Raw genomic sequence first — 15,021 nt, 5'->3', positions numbered from 1 at the left:
ACAGCCGGGCGCAGTGGCTCACACCTGTAATCTCAGCACTTTGGGAGGCCGAAGCGGGAGGATCATGAGGTCAGGAGATAGAGACTATCCTGGCTAACATGGTGAAACCCCGTCTCTACTAAAAATACAAAAAATTAGCCGGGTGTGGTGGCGGGCGCCTGTAGTCCCAGCTAGTCGGGAGGCTGAGGCAGGAGAATGGAGTGAACCCGGGAGGCGGAGCTTGCAGTGAGCCGAGATCACGCCGCTGCACTCCAGCCTGGGCGACAGAGTGAGACTCCATCTCAAAAAAAAAAAAAAAAAAAAAAAAGGAAAGAAAAGCTGGATGTGGTGGCATGTGCCTGTGGTCCCAGCTACTCAGGAGGCTGAGGTAGGAGGATCACCTGAGCCTGGGAGGTTGAGGCTGCAAGTAAGCCATGATCAGGCCACTGCACTCCAGCCTCGGCAACAGAGTGAGACCCTGTCTCAAAAACAAACAAACAAAAAAAACCCACTATACAAAGTATGCTAACAACAATACATTTTCAAGATTAAGATCAAAATTAAGATTTAGGGGCCTTGGGTATGGTAAATGTACAGAGTTATTTTCATAAATATTTGAAATAAAGATGTTTTAGAAATACTTTTAATCATCTTCATTTAATTCTGTTAAACAAGGTTTGCCATTCATTTCCATTACGTCACACATGATGCTACATGGCGAATTCAACTTAATAAGCCATCTAACCCCTTTGTCATGTTCAAGCATTTGAATGTTTTCTTCTTCTTCTTTTTTTTGACTATTAAAAAATAGAGACAGGGTCTTGCCATGTTGCCCAGGCTGGTCTCAAATTCCCGGGCTCTAGCAATCCTCCCACCACAGCTTCCCAAAGTGCTGCGATTATAGGCGTGAACCACCATGCTTGGCCTCATTTGAATAATTATTCCTGTATTTTGTTTGTATAAAAAGTAGAAAACTGATGGTTTGGGAATATGTCCTTTTTTGTGTAGGGACACTGATGACAGTGTTTTTTAAAACTTCTGATTCTGACTCCTTTACATAGAGCATGCGGAAGTCCAGACTCCACACTATTCCTTGCTGTTTTAAACCTAGCTGCTCTATTAAGTCACCTGCTAAGTCACCTGCTTGGCCCTTCAAGTCATTTGACTTTGCAACCCTTATGTACTTCTCTGTTTTTGAGACAAAGTCTCGCTCTGTCGCCCAGGCTGGGGCGCAGTGGTGCAATTTCGGCTCACTGCAACCTCTGCCTCCTGGGTTCAAGCGGTTATCCTGCCTCAGCCTGAGTAGCTGGGACTACAGGCGTGCGCCGCCATACTCAGCTAATTTTTTTACTTTCAGTCGAGACGGGGTTTCGCCATGTTGGCAAGGCTGGCCTTGAACTCCTGACCTCAAGTGATCTGCCCACCTCGGCCTCCCAAAGTGCTGGGATTACAGGCGTTAGCCACTGTGCCGGCTCCCTCTGTACTTTAAAAAGTAGTTTATGTTCTATATTTATGTTAAGTTCACCTGGAGCCATTATACTATAATAATAATTAATTGAAAAACAGCATTATTCTAAAGTCAAACGTTTTACTAATAATGAAAGTTATAAAAATGCATTTTCATTAATCTTTCAAATTATTTTAAAATAATTCAAAATGGGGTCAACTTTATATCCCAAACAAAGTTTGAAGCCACCGTCCTCTTCTGCCAAATTACACATAGGATCCCAACTACAAGTCATCATCACTACTAGAAACATTGAGCAAACACTCAGAATAACTCAAGATACTATAGCTACTGCCCAATTAAAGGATTCATACCAGATTTCTGTCTGCTAAGACCAATCAAAGGGTCCTTCAATTCTACCTCTAAAAGCACACATAGACACTAAAACCCTTCCCATGTATTCCTACCTACTGTGACTGTCTTAACTCAAACCTATCACAGTGCTTGTACAGACTGTGGACAACAGGTTTGCCTGTCTTCTGTTTTCACCTGCCTCTATAAAAGAAAAAAATCAACCCCACAGTACGTATACCAAAGCCTTTATGAAGTCTGACTACCTATCTATGGTATCTTATATATTTCCTGTACTGATTTCTTAAAGTCTGAAAGTATCACGCTCCTTGAGCCTCCAGCATTTGCCTCAAGCTTTTCCCTTTCCCTACAACTGAACAGTAGCACATTTTCTTTCCTATTTGACTCCTTAATGCCAACCTGGAAATAAACACCAAGTTCACAGAGAGGCATTTTCTGTTGGTTCCTTAGATAGTACAACCTAACTAAGAAACACCTGCAGATTCTACTCATCCTTGTAATTTCAAATGTTACTACCTCTGTGAAGCATCTGTTTTGGACAGGTACAAAGCTCTTAATAAAATTTTTCTTTTACTTTTTATATAAAAAGACAGGGTCTCACTCTGTTGCCTAGGTTGGAGTGCAGTTGCATTATCATAGCTCATTATAATTCCCAACCTCTGGGCTCAAGCAATTCTCCCATCTCAGCCTCCCAAGCAGATGGGACTACAAGCTTGCACCACCATGCCCAGCTAATTTTTGTTTTTATTTTTGTAGAGATGTTGCCCAGGAGTTGACTGAACTCCTAGCCTCAAGCAATCCTTCTGCCTAAGTGCTGGGATTACAGGCATCTCCCACCATGCCTGGCCTAAAATTCGTTCTTTAAATCATATGCAATATCTATACTCTGCAAATCTATGAATATGACATCTTTTTTGGTTCAGCAGTTTGCCTCTATTAAAAAAAACAAAAAAATGTAAATTAATCTTCTTTATACTATTACCAAAAAATGAAAAAAAAAAGTTAAAGAACATTTTCATTTTCCAGATGAAATTCAGAGACTAAGGTAAGTAATTTACAAGAATGATTTACAAGTAATTTACAAGTGGCAGTTTGATGGAAGCATAAAAGAATGAGGTGGCCTGAAATGAGAAGCATTCAGAGAAGATAATTTCTTGGTCGGGCACGGTGGCTCACGCCTGTAATCCCAGCACTTTGAGAGGTGGCGGTGGATGGATCACCTGAGGTCAGGAGTTTGAAACCAGCCTGGCCAACATGGTAAAACCCTGTCTCTACTAATAATACAAAAATTATCTGGGCGTGGTAGCACACACCTGCAATCCCACCTACTCGGGAGACTGAGGCAGGAGAATCACTTAAACCTGGGAGGCAGAGGTTGCAATGAGCCAAGATTGGGCCATTGCACTCCTGCCTGGGCGACAAGAACGAAACTCTGTCTCCAAAAAAAAAAAAAAAAAAAAAAAAGAAGAAGAAGAAAGAAAAAAACCTTCTTGATTCTATGTAAATATGGCCAAAAGATTGCAGGGGCAATAGAATGCAGAAACAGGTTTAAATCAAGTCCAGGCTACTTTTGGTAGTTACAAATCTGACTGCAAGTGCTGCTGCTACCTATGTTTTTTTTAAACTACTAGTATTTATCCTATGTGGCTCCAATAATATCCATACCTATACATGGGGGAGTTGTTTAACCTGTTTCTTATTAGCATGAAAATTCATGATAGATATAGTATGAAAGTCATTCTATCACAGAACCCGCATGACAAACAATAAAAGACTAAGACAATAAATTATGCCCTCAAGAGTCCTATTATCTGAATCAACAAAATGTTGGAATTTCTAAGCTGTGTTGTTGTCTCTTGTTAATAAATGTAATGTCTTTATCCAAATATTTCCCCAAACAATCTGGTCCTTCATGATTGCATGCCTTGCCTGCCTAGACCAACTGAATTTCAACCAATTCCTGACACTGCTTGTTCCCTTGATCACGATGCATTACCTGGAAACTCCAAGCTCCTCTATGGCAGACTATGGGTTTAAATACACAGACTACACTGATTGCTGATCAGCTGGCAGTAATTTCTTCCTGACACTTTTGGTCACTGTGACCAAAAAAGATTCTCTAGCTTTTGTTTTTCCATCTCCCACACAGATCTGCTGAGGAATTAGAAAATAAAATACCAACCAACCTCCAGATCACTGCCCCTTCTATCTCCTGAGCCCTGCTTCTTTACTCCCCACACTAAATGTAATAAGGAAGATTTTGTACTTAATTTCTGCTACACTATAGTTATTTGATCTTGTTTCTTTCTCCATAGCTAATATGCTCCAGATGTCCAATTACCCACCACCATACAAATAGCTACCTAAACTAAAAAGGAGAGGGTGAGGAAGCCACACAAAGTTCTAGGCAGCTACAAGAAATGCGTCCTGCAGACAACTATTCTTTCTTTTTTGAAAAAAAAGAAAAAAGAAAAAAGAAAAGTAGAGATGGGGTCTCATTATGTTGCCCAGGCACATCTCGAACTTCTGGCTTCAAGAGATCCTCCTGCCTCAGCCTCCCAAAGCGGTAGGAATACAGATGTGAACTACTGAGCCATGCCTATTTTTTCTTCTTGAAAAAAATGTGGCCAGGCTTAGTGGCCCCTGTCTGTAATCTGAGCACTTTGGAAGACCAAGGCAGGTGGATTGCTTGATGCCAAGACAACATAGTGAGACCCTGTCTCAACAAAAATAAAAATAACTGGCAGGGCATGACAGTCCTTGTAGTACTAGCTACTTAGGAGTCTGAGGTAGGAGGATCGCGTAAGCCTGGGAGATCAAGGCTGCAAGTGAGCTGTGATGGTGCCACTGTACTCCAGCCTGGGTGATAGGAAGAGATCCTGTCTCAAAAACAAAAGTAACTTAAAACATTCTGGCTTTGATTAGTTTATGCTGAATCTAAAGATTGGGGTAAAAGGCAGTATGATCCAAGTTTCTTCCTATAAATCACCATAGGTCAGACTTTTGGAAGACAGCTGTAGTAGTAATGTCACCACCTGCCTGCACCTCCTGAACCACAGATTCATCCATGACAAGAACGGTGTGCAAAAGCTGATGTCATTTGCCAACAGGGTTACAGTCATCAAATCTTACTGAAAACTTTCTTACACCTTAAATCCTAATTCTTAAATATCACAAGTCTTAGGAGTTTAAGAAATGTAATGAGTATAATTCGCTCTACAAGATAATTTTAGGACTTGGTACAGTGGAAGGGCAACTGCTGGCGTGGGTGTGCCACGACACAAGGATAATTTTTTGTTTTTGGTAGAGATGGGGGTCTCACTATGTTGCTGGGGCTGGTCTGGAATGATTCTAGGTGTGAACCGCTGCATCCAGCCTTAAGTGGTTATCTTATCCTAAACCTACATAACTTAAAACATTTGTTAAATTTATTAAACATTTAAAGCTCCCTCATTTGTCAAACACTGATATAAGTACTCTACAAAATATCAATATAGGTGGATTCATTTAAAATAAGAAAATAGGCCTAGGTGCGGTGGCAACACTTTGGGAGGCCGAGGTGGGCAGATCACTTGAGGTCAGGAGTTCACAACGAGCCTGGGCAACATGGTGAAACTCCTTCTCTACTAAAAATACAAAAATTAGCCAGGCTTGGTGGCGCATGCCTGTGGTCCCAGCTACTTGGAGCCTGAGGCAGGAGAACTGCCTGAACCCGGGAGGCAGAGGTTGCAGTGATCCAAGATCACGCCACTGCACTCCAGCATGGGCAACAGCAAGACTCGGTCTCAAAATAAAAATCAAATAAGGAAATAAAATATCGTTTAACAGAAGTTTAAAATTTGAATTCCTCCTTCTCATCAAAATACAAGCTCCACAAGGACAGGGATTTTTGTTTTGCTCACTTCTATATAAACCCAGTTTCTGAAAGAAATTAAGATTATAACCATAATAGTCCCACACCCCCAAGCAGATGTCAATGAGCCTTTCCTTATTTTTCTCCATAGCACTTACCTGGCATACTCTAAAATTTATATCTTATGTGCACAGTAGAAAGTAGGTTACATAAAATAAGTTCATTCACTACTTTAACCCTAAAGTATTTTGTCCACCAGTGAGGGTTTATTGTAAGTCATCCCTCCTCTCCGTAACAGAATATAAACATCGGTGGCAAGGACTTTCTCTCTTCATAGCTATGTTCCTAGATCCTAGAAGAGGTACTTAATAATTTACCTTGTTTTTGGTTCTCACTCCAAATATTCTAAGTAAACTACACTGACACGGCAATCTAAAAGTGTCAGAGGATGGGTGCAGTGGCTCACACCTGTAATCCTGGCACTTTGGGAGGCTGAGACAAGAGGATCACTTGAGCCCAAGAGGAGTTTGAGATTAGCCTGAGCAACATAGTGAGACCCCATCTCTTAAAAAAAAAAAAAAAAAAAAAAAAAATAATAATAAGCCAGGCATGGTGGTATGTGCCTTCAGTTCCAGCTACTCAGGAGGCTGAGGCGAGAAGACTGTTTAAGCCTGGTAGGTTGAGGCTGCAGTAAGCCATGATTAGGCCAGTGCACTCCAGCCTGGGTGACAGAGTAAGACCCTGTCTCAAAAAAAAAAAAAAAAGGTGGCGGGGGTGAGGGGCAGAAAGGGAGAATCTACAAAGGAATGCTAAAACAGAATCCTAACTTGTCAATATTCTCGCAGCAAAAAAAAATTTAAGGTTTTTGAATTCCTACATGTCACCTCAGTTCCCCCCAACACAAGTTTGTCCATCTGTCTTCAATTCACACTTGCATTCTCTGTCACCATCAAGGTTCTTTTTTTTTTTTTCCCCTTAAATAGAAGATGGGGTCAATGCTACCTGGTTGGTCTCTTAACTCCTGGGCTCAAGCGATCCTCTAGCCTTGGCCTCCCAAAGTGCTGGGATTACAGGCATGAGCCACTGCACCCAAGATTCTCAGGAACACAGAAGTCCTGATGTCTGCTCAAATTATTCCTGTTACAGAGAAAGCTTGCTCTTGACTCCTTGTGAAAATCGTACCTATCTCCAATTTCATCTTCGAAGTGAAGCCATCTCTCATTCAACAAAAACGAACTACATGCCAGGCACTGGCAACCATAGTGTGATCCCATTTTAAGAAAAACAGATAAAATATGTAAAGAAAAATATGAAGAAATAAGCACTAAAGTATGTGTGATTATGCCTTATTTATGTATACAGGATCCACATTTAAAAGTTTAAAATATTTTTAATATACTTAGCATTCTCTAGTTAATAAAGCTAACAGAAGTCTTTGGCCAAGTTCTGGTTCACTGAAACATCTACACTGTTGAGGTTTCACATGAACAAATGCACCTTAATTTCCATCAACCAATAAAGAAAAATAACAGTTAATACATTTCTCAGAATAAATGTATCTCTTGAAAACCAGGGACATTCAAAGCAATAGGAACAAATGGAGTATCCATCTGAAGACAGTGTAATGCCAGCCATCTCAAAACTGTAATTTTATAAGGAGGCTACAAGGCTAAACTGGACTTGGAAATGAGATAAAAACATTCCAATACTTGTGCCAGAGAGAACCAGCATTAGCCAGCAATCATTTGGAAGTATGAAGTTATAGAATACCAGCTGTAAAATAAACGTTTTACTTAAATACAGGCACTTCTTAAAACTTATGACAGCACAGTAAATTCCTGGCGTGTAATAGTGGAAACTGCTATACAATGTAAGGCAAACCCTCCATCCATCATGACAATACTCACATGCATGCCGATTGTGCACACAAACCAAAACTGTACTTACCTTAAGAGGCTGGGGGCCTCTCAATCCTGTTTGTCCTCCCATCTGGGGAGAGCCCTGCTGAAGAGGCTCAGTCAGTAAGTTGCCAGCACTTCCCATGCCTGGGTTTGGGTACTGCATATTCTGTCGCCCTCGGCCTGCTCCAATTGAACCGTTCATGACTTGATTAGGCATTATCCCTTGTCCATTGCCTGCAGCCAACATTCCAGGATTCATGCCCGCATTCATCCCTGTGTTCATTCCCATGGCAGGCTGATTTACTGGACTGTTCATCATACCTGTTGACTGCGTAGGACCCTGATTTGGTCCACTAGTGCCCATCCCCATGTTGGGAGAAGTCAAGCCTGCCTGTGTCATTGGGCTTTTGACCATGCTATTTATCAAACCTAATCCAGGACTGCTCTGTTGGGCCTGGCTGGCCATGACTTGACCTGGGCCACCAACTCCCATATTGAGGTTAGGGGAACTACCAGATCGCAGCAATTCTGACAGCTGTTTATGTTTAGAAGCTGCATCTTGTACCATGCCAAGACTTGTCTGAAGCTGATTAATATCACCACCATTGGTTAGTCCCAATTCTGTAGAGTTGATTAATTCATCTGGTAAGTCGTGCTCCAAGTCAAATAGAGAGCCAAAATCTAAAAGCAAAGGGAAAAGACAAAGGTCAAAGTATGACAAAACCAAAATAAAAAACTGCTCTATATTGTTCTCAATAAGCATTAAATGTCATTTCCCAACCTCACTCCATGTTTTTCTATTTATTTGAGACAGGGTCTTACTCTGTTGCACAGGCTGGAGTGCAGTGGTGCGCGATCTTGGCTTACTGTAACCTCTATCCACAGGTTCAAGTGATTCTACCATCTCAGCCTCCCAAGTAGCTGTGACTACAAGTGCGCACCACCACACCGAGCTAAATTTTGTATTTTTAGTAGAGGCGGAGCTTGCCATGTTGACCTGGCTGGTCTTACACTCCTGAGCTGAAGCTATCTGTCTGCATTGGCCTTCCAAAGTGCTGGGATTACAGGTGTGAGCCACCACACACAGCCCTATATATATACTATTTGTATGGTAGTTTTTTAGGTCATACTAAAACCATTTTATAGATTTTTTAAATTGAGGGGATATTTGGTTATATCAACAAACTTAAACACTTAAGAACTATACCTAAAATAAGACCAAGGAAAAAAGGGATTGAAAGTACAACACCCCCCATCAATGACAGACTGGATAAAGAAAATGTGGCACATATACACCATGGAATACTATGCAGCCATAAAAAAGGATGAGTTCATGTCCTTTGCAGGGACAAGGATGAAGCCTGGAAACCATCATTCTCAGAAAACATAGGAAAAGAAAACTAAACACCGCATGTTCTCACTCATAAGTGGGAGTTAAATACGAACACATGGACACAGAGAGGGGAACATCAGACACCAGGGCCTGCTGGGGGATGGGGGGCTAGGAGAGGATAGCATTAGGACAAATACCTAATGTAGATGACGGATTGATGGGTGCGGCAAACCACCATGGCACATGTATACCTATGTAACAAACCTGCACGTTCTGCACATGTATCCCAAAACTTAAAGGATAATTAAAAAAAGAAAAACATTCTAAATAATGTTATAGAATTAGCATAATAGTTGAAATAAAATTTTATTTTTTGTTAAAAAAAAAGTGCAACACCCATTATTACATGAGTTGCTAGCTAAAGGTTTGTATCCACAGTCATGGAAAAAAGAAATGCAATTAAGCTGTATTAATATTCCCAAGTTCCTTAGAAGAACAGTTAAAATATCTACACACAAACTAAACTCAGGATGGAAAGAAAACATTTTAAATATTGTAATACATAAAGACACACAACTGATACAAAAGACCTGTCATTTGTGGAACACTCAGTGTGTGCTCCAGTTAAGCAGAGGGCTATCCACCATTTTTTACCAAGTTCCTATATAGTACCTGCCTCAAAGTAGGCCTTTAACAGGCGGAGTTTTTGACCTGTAGCCTACAGAATAGCTTTCCTTAACCAAAGTCTAGCCAGAATAGGGTACAACACCATGCCTCTGGCTCCTTCACCATACAAACCACCCCTACCAAAAACAGGGTGCAAGACCAGCCCTGGTAGCTCACACCTGTAATCTCAGTACTTTAGAAGGCCAAGGCAGGAGGAATTCTTCAGCCCAGGTCAACACAGCAAGACCCTGTCTCTACAAACAATAAAGTCGGCTGGGTGTGGTGGCACTAGGCTATACTCCTAGCCACTCAGGAGGCTAAGGTGGGAGGATTACTTGAGTCCAGGAATTTGAGGTTGTAGTGAGCTTTAACTGCACAACTGCACTCCAGCCTGGGTGACAGAGCAAGATCCTGTCTCAAAAAAGAACAAACAAAACTGGGTGCTAAGTATAGATTAATGCAGGGTTTCTCAACCCTGGCACTATTAACATTTTGAGCTATGTGATAATTCTTTGTTGTGGGTGGAGGGTGATTGTCTTGTGCCCTCTATTATCATTAGGAGACTCCTGGTCTTTCTACTTATGCCAGTAGCACCCATATCCCAATTGTGACAATCAAAACTGTCTCCAGACATCACCAAACATCCCCTGGGGGAAGAAAATTACTCCTGATTGACCTATTGACAGTATTAACCTACTATAAAAATTATTTGAGTTTTCTTTCCTTTCAATTCTCTAAAGTAGTTTTCACATTAAAAAGGCATTACTGGGTGTTGGGCATAGTGGTACACATCTATAGTCCAAGCTACTCAGGAGGCTGAGGCAAGAGGATAGCTTGAGCCCAGGAATTCACATCAAGTCTGGGCACTGTGAGACCTTGTCTACTAACAACAACAAAAATTCCACAGCTATTATCCTCTTAAAAAATGGACCATCCCTTGAAGACAAAATATTGCCTTAATGGTCTACTTGATCCAATTAATCTTAGTTCCTAAGTATAACTCTTCCTGTATGTGCCCTTCCTCTTCTTGTAGTTTTTTTTTTTCTTCCCAATCCTGCTCCTTCTGTATCTTTTAGCATTTTATCATGTCACTGAAATTATCTCTGGGTTTGCCTCCTCTCCTCCCCTTGCCATCCCTTGTGACCACCCCTCACTCCAACCATGCATTCTTCGCGAAGGACATGTTTTACCACTTATATACCAGCTCCTTGCCTACTGGCAACATAGTAAGCACATGGTCATATATTAACTAAACCAACATGTGGTCATATATGAACTAAGTCAAATTGTATCCCAAGATCTCAGGGCATAATTTAGAGTCCAGAGTTTTACAGAATTACTCTTTCCTTTTGAAATATCATATGGGCTCCTCCATCAAAAATGTGCCACAAGGCTGAGCACTTTGGCTCACAACCTGTAATCCCAACACTTTGTGAGGCCAAGGAGGGCAGACGGCTCGAGCTCAGCAGACCAGCCTGGGCAACATGGAGAAAACCAAACTGCACAAAAAAATACAAAACTTAGCCAGGCCTAGTGGCCTGTACCTGTGGTCTCAGCTACTAGGGAGGCTGAGGAAGGAGGATAGCGGCAGCTTGGGAAGTTGAGGCTGCAGTGAGCCGTGAATGTACCACTGCACTCTAGCCTGGGTGACAGAGCGAGATCCTATCTCAAACAACAACAACAACAACAACAACAAATACCCAAATGTGTAACAAAACTGACCTAAAACCACTATTCAAAAATGCCTGCTTAATATACTGATATAGTTCCTTCATTATTTCCTTATACTTACGTGATTTACAAAACTGAGATCATACTTTATTTGCAATTTTTACTTTTCCCCTGGAGTATCCAAGAAAATATTTTATCATTAGCATACTGAACATAGAGGGCAAAAAAATCTCCACTTTAGAAATTTTAAAAACAGGCAGTGATAAATTACAAAAGAAATCACAAAGGAAATTGAGTAATAAAAAATATATTTCAAAACCTAAAGGCCTATGTTAGAAAATAAAGTTAAAAAGGCCGGGCGCAGTGGCTCACGCCTGTTATCCCAGCACTTTGGGAGGCCGAGGTGGGCGGATCACGAGGTCAGGAGATCGAGACCATCCTGGATAACACGGTGAAACCCCATCTCTACTAAAAATACAAAAAATTAGCAGGGCGTGGTGGCGGGCGCCTATAGTCCCAGCTACTCAGGAGGCTGAGGCAGGAGAATGGCATGAACCCGGGAGACAGAGTTTGCAGTGAGCCGAGATCACGCCACTTCACTCCAGCCTGGGCGACAGAGCGAGACTCCGTCTCAAAAAAATAATAATAATAAATAAAGTTACAAATTAATGAACTCTCCAGTGAGTCTCCTGAGGTTGCTAATAATGAATTAAGTATCCAAATTATATTAGAAAAATAGTATTAATATGAAGAAGACAATCAAAGACAAAAGCATAAACGAAACAGGAAATAGGAATGTAACAGCATTACCAAAACTAGAAGTTAGTTTTTTGGAGTAACAAAAGACGAACTTCAAGAAGGTTAAGAAAAAAAGAAAATTAAAAGATAAAGCAATACTATCAACTTTATACAAATGAAGAAAACATACAAAATAAATAAATTCCGGAGAAAATACTCAAACCTTAATAAAAAAGAAATCATATAGGATATGGAATGTCCCAGTTTCTCCAACAAATCCATAGCATAAGTTGGGGGGGGGGTGGAATCCTGATTCAAACAAGCCAACTATAAACACACATTTTGAAATGAGAGTAAGACATATTTAGGTACAGACTGAGAAATGGGTGATATTAAGAAATCATTAACTTTATTGACTATAACAATGGCATTATTTTAAAATAAATCCTTTTTACTGAAAGATATACATTGAAATATTTCTGGTGAAATGACATGGCTAGGATTTGCTTTAAAATACTCCAGCAAAAAAGGGGGGAAGGGTAGTATAATATACTAGTAAACCTGAAGCTGGGTAATAGGCACATGGGAAGCCAGACCACTGTAATCCTACTGCTACTAGAGAAAATAAGCCCTTGGTTAATCTTTCCATAAAGAAAGCACCATATCCGAATTGTTTACAGGCATGCCCTACACCAAACTTTCAAGGAAAATACAATTCAAGCTAACACAAATACTTCTAAAAAAAAAAAACAATATAAAAATTACACATGGCCAATATAAGAAAAACACAGGCCAATCTTCTTCATGGACACAGAAACAAGACTCTTTAAAAAGAGCAAACCAAAGGCTCAAAAATCATCATCAAGTTGGGATAATCCCAGGAATCCAGGGGACACCAGAACATCTATAAACTGTCATTCGCCATAGTAACAAAGGATAAAGAAAATATAAGATTCATCTTGGCCAGGCACAGTGGCTCACGCCTGTAATCCCAGCACTTTGGGAGGCCAAGGTGGGCAGATCACTTGAGGTCAGGAGCTTGAGACCAGCCTGGCCAATATAGCGAAACCACATCTCTACTAAAAACAAAACAAAACAAAAAATTAGCTGGGTGTGGTGGCAGGCGCCTGTAGTCCCAGCTACTTGGGAGGCTGAAGCAAGGAATCGCTTGAACCCAGGGGAGCAGAGGTTGCAGTGAGCAGAGACAGTGCCACTGCACTCCAGGCTGGGTGACAGAGCGAGACTGTCTCACACACACATAAAAAAATAGGTGGCCAGGCATGGTGGCTCACGCTTGTAATCCCAGCACTTTGGGAGGCCAAGGCGGGCGGATCACGAGTTCAGGAGATTGAGACCATCCTGGCTAACACAGTGAAACCCCGTCTCTACTAAAAAATACAAAAAATTAGCTGGGCGCGGTGGCGGATGCCTGTAGTCCCAGCTACTCGGGAGGCTGAGGCAGGAGGATGGCGTGAACCCGGGAGGCGGAGCTTGCAGTGAGTGGACATCGCGCCACTGCACTCCAGCCTGGGCGACAGAGTGAGACTCTGTCTCAAAAAAAAAAAAAAAAAAAAAAAAAAAAAGGTTACAAGTTCTAAAAAAGAAAAAAAAAGAGAAAAAAGTCCGGGCATGGTGGTTCTCACCTGTAATCCCAGCACTTTAGCAGGCCAAGGCAGGCGTTCACCTGAGGTCGGGTGTTCGAGACCAGCCTGAGCAACATGGAGAAACCCCGTCTCTACCAAAAATACAAAATTAGCGGTACGTGGTGGTGCAGGCCGTAACCTCAGCTACTCAGGAGGCTGAGGCAGGAGAATCGCTTGACTTGGGAGGCAGAGGTTGTGGTGAGCCCAGATAGTGCCATTGCACTCTACCCTGGGTGACAAAAGCAAAACTCCGTCTCAAAACAAAAAAGAAGGAAAGAAAGAAAAAGGAAAAAGGAAGAAACAAAACTTATTGTCTGTAGATAATATAACTGTTGACATAGAAAGTTCAAAGCAAATACATATATCATCACACTATAACCCATGAATATACACAACTGTTGTCAATTTTAAAGAAATACATACAACTGGAAATTGTGAGAGGTTAGCAAGATGACTGGTTATACCATAAATATAAACGTATCAAAGTGAATTTCTGTATGCCAGCAACAAATGGTTACAAATAATTTTTTAAATAATGTAGAGCCGGGCACAGTGGCTCACGCCTGTAATCCTAGCACTTTGGGAGGCTGAGACAGGTGGACTGCTGGAGGTCAGGAGTTTAAGACCAGCCAAGACCAGCCTGGCCAACGTGGTGAAACCCGGTCTCCACTAAAAATACCAAAATTAGCTGCGCGTGGTGGCACATGCCTGTAGTCCCAGCTACTCAGAAGGCTGAGGCACGAGAATCGCTTGCATCCAGGAGGCAGAGTTTGCAGTGAGCAGAGATTGTACCACTGCATTCCGGCCTGGGTGACAAGAGTGAGACTCTATCTCAAATTTAAAAAAAAAAAAAAAAAGATTTATAACATAGGGAAAAACTGACAATGTATATAAAACAGGTGTAAACTCAAAAGTAAAGGCTGACTAAACAGAATATCTCAAACACTTAGAAATCCTCAGTATTAAAAACATCATTCCCCAGTACTGATCTATAGATTCAATGCAGTATCAATCAAACTTCTAGAAGTTTGTCAAGAAACTGGACAAGATGATTCTAAAGTATACACAGATCCCAAGGACCACTGGAAGTGTGAAAAAATAAAAAGGAAAAGACAGCCAGAAGGGTGGCTCACGCCTGTAATCCTAGTACGTTGGAAGGCCGAGGGGAGAAAGACCACCTCTCTACAAAAATATTATTTTTAAAAATTAGCTGGATATAGGCCGGATGTGGTAGCTCACATCTGCAATCCCAGCACTTTACTTTGGGAGGCCGAGGCGGGTGGATCACTTGAGGCCAGGTGTTCAAGACCAGCCTGGCCAACATAGTGAAATCCCATCTCTACTAAAAATAAAAAAATCAGCCGGGAATGGTGGAGCATGCCTGTAGTCCCAGCTAGTCGGGAGGCTGAGGCAGGAGA

The 15,021-nt window shown here is 41.4% G+C and overlaps 1 protein-coding gene across 2 annotated transcripts in view; it reads right to left on the bottom strand.

Moving 5' to 3' along the window:
* Window positions 1-15,021, bottom strand: part of EP300 (EP300 lysine acetyltransferase) — an 87,486-nt gene that overhangs the window by 54,658 nt on the left and 17,807 nt on the right. For both annotated transcript variants that reach the window (NM_001429.4, NM_001362843.2), the window contains exon 2: window positions 7,599-8,233. In NM_001429.4, the coding sequence (NP_001420.2) occupies window positions 7,599-8,233 (635 nt within the window). The remainder of the gene's footprint in view (window positions 1-7,598; window positions 8,234-15,021) is intronic.

The sequence above is a fragment of the Homo sapiens genome, chromosome 22 (genome assembly GCF_000001405.40).
Source record: "Homo sapiens chromosome 22, GRCh38.p14 Primary Assembly".
Classification (NCBI taxonomy): domain Eukaryota; kingdom Metazoa; phylum Chordata; class Mammalia; order Primates; family Hominidae; genus Homo; species Homo sapiens.
Note: the sequence above shows the minus strand (reverse complement) of the source record. Positions and strands in the feature narration are given on the sequence as shown.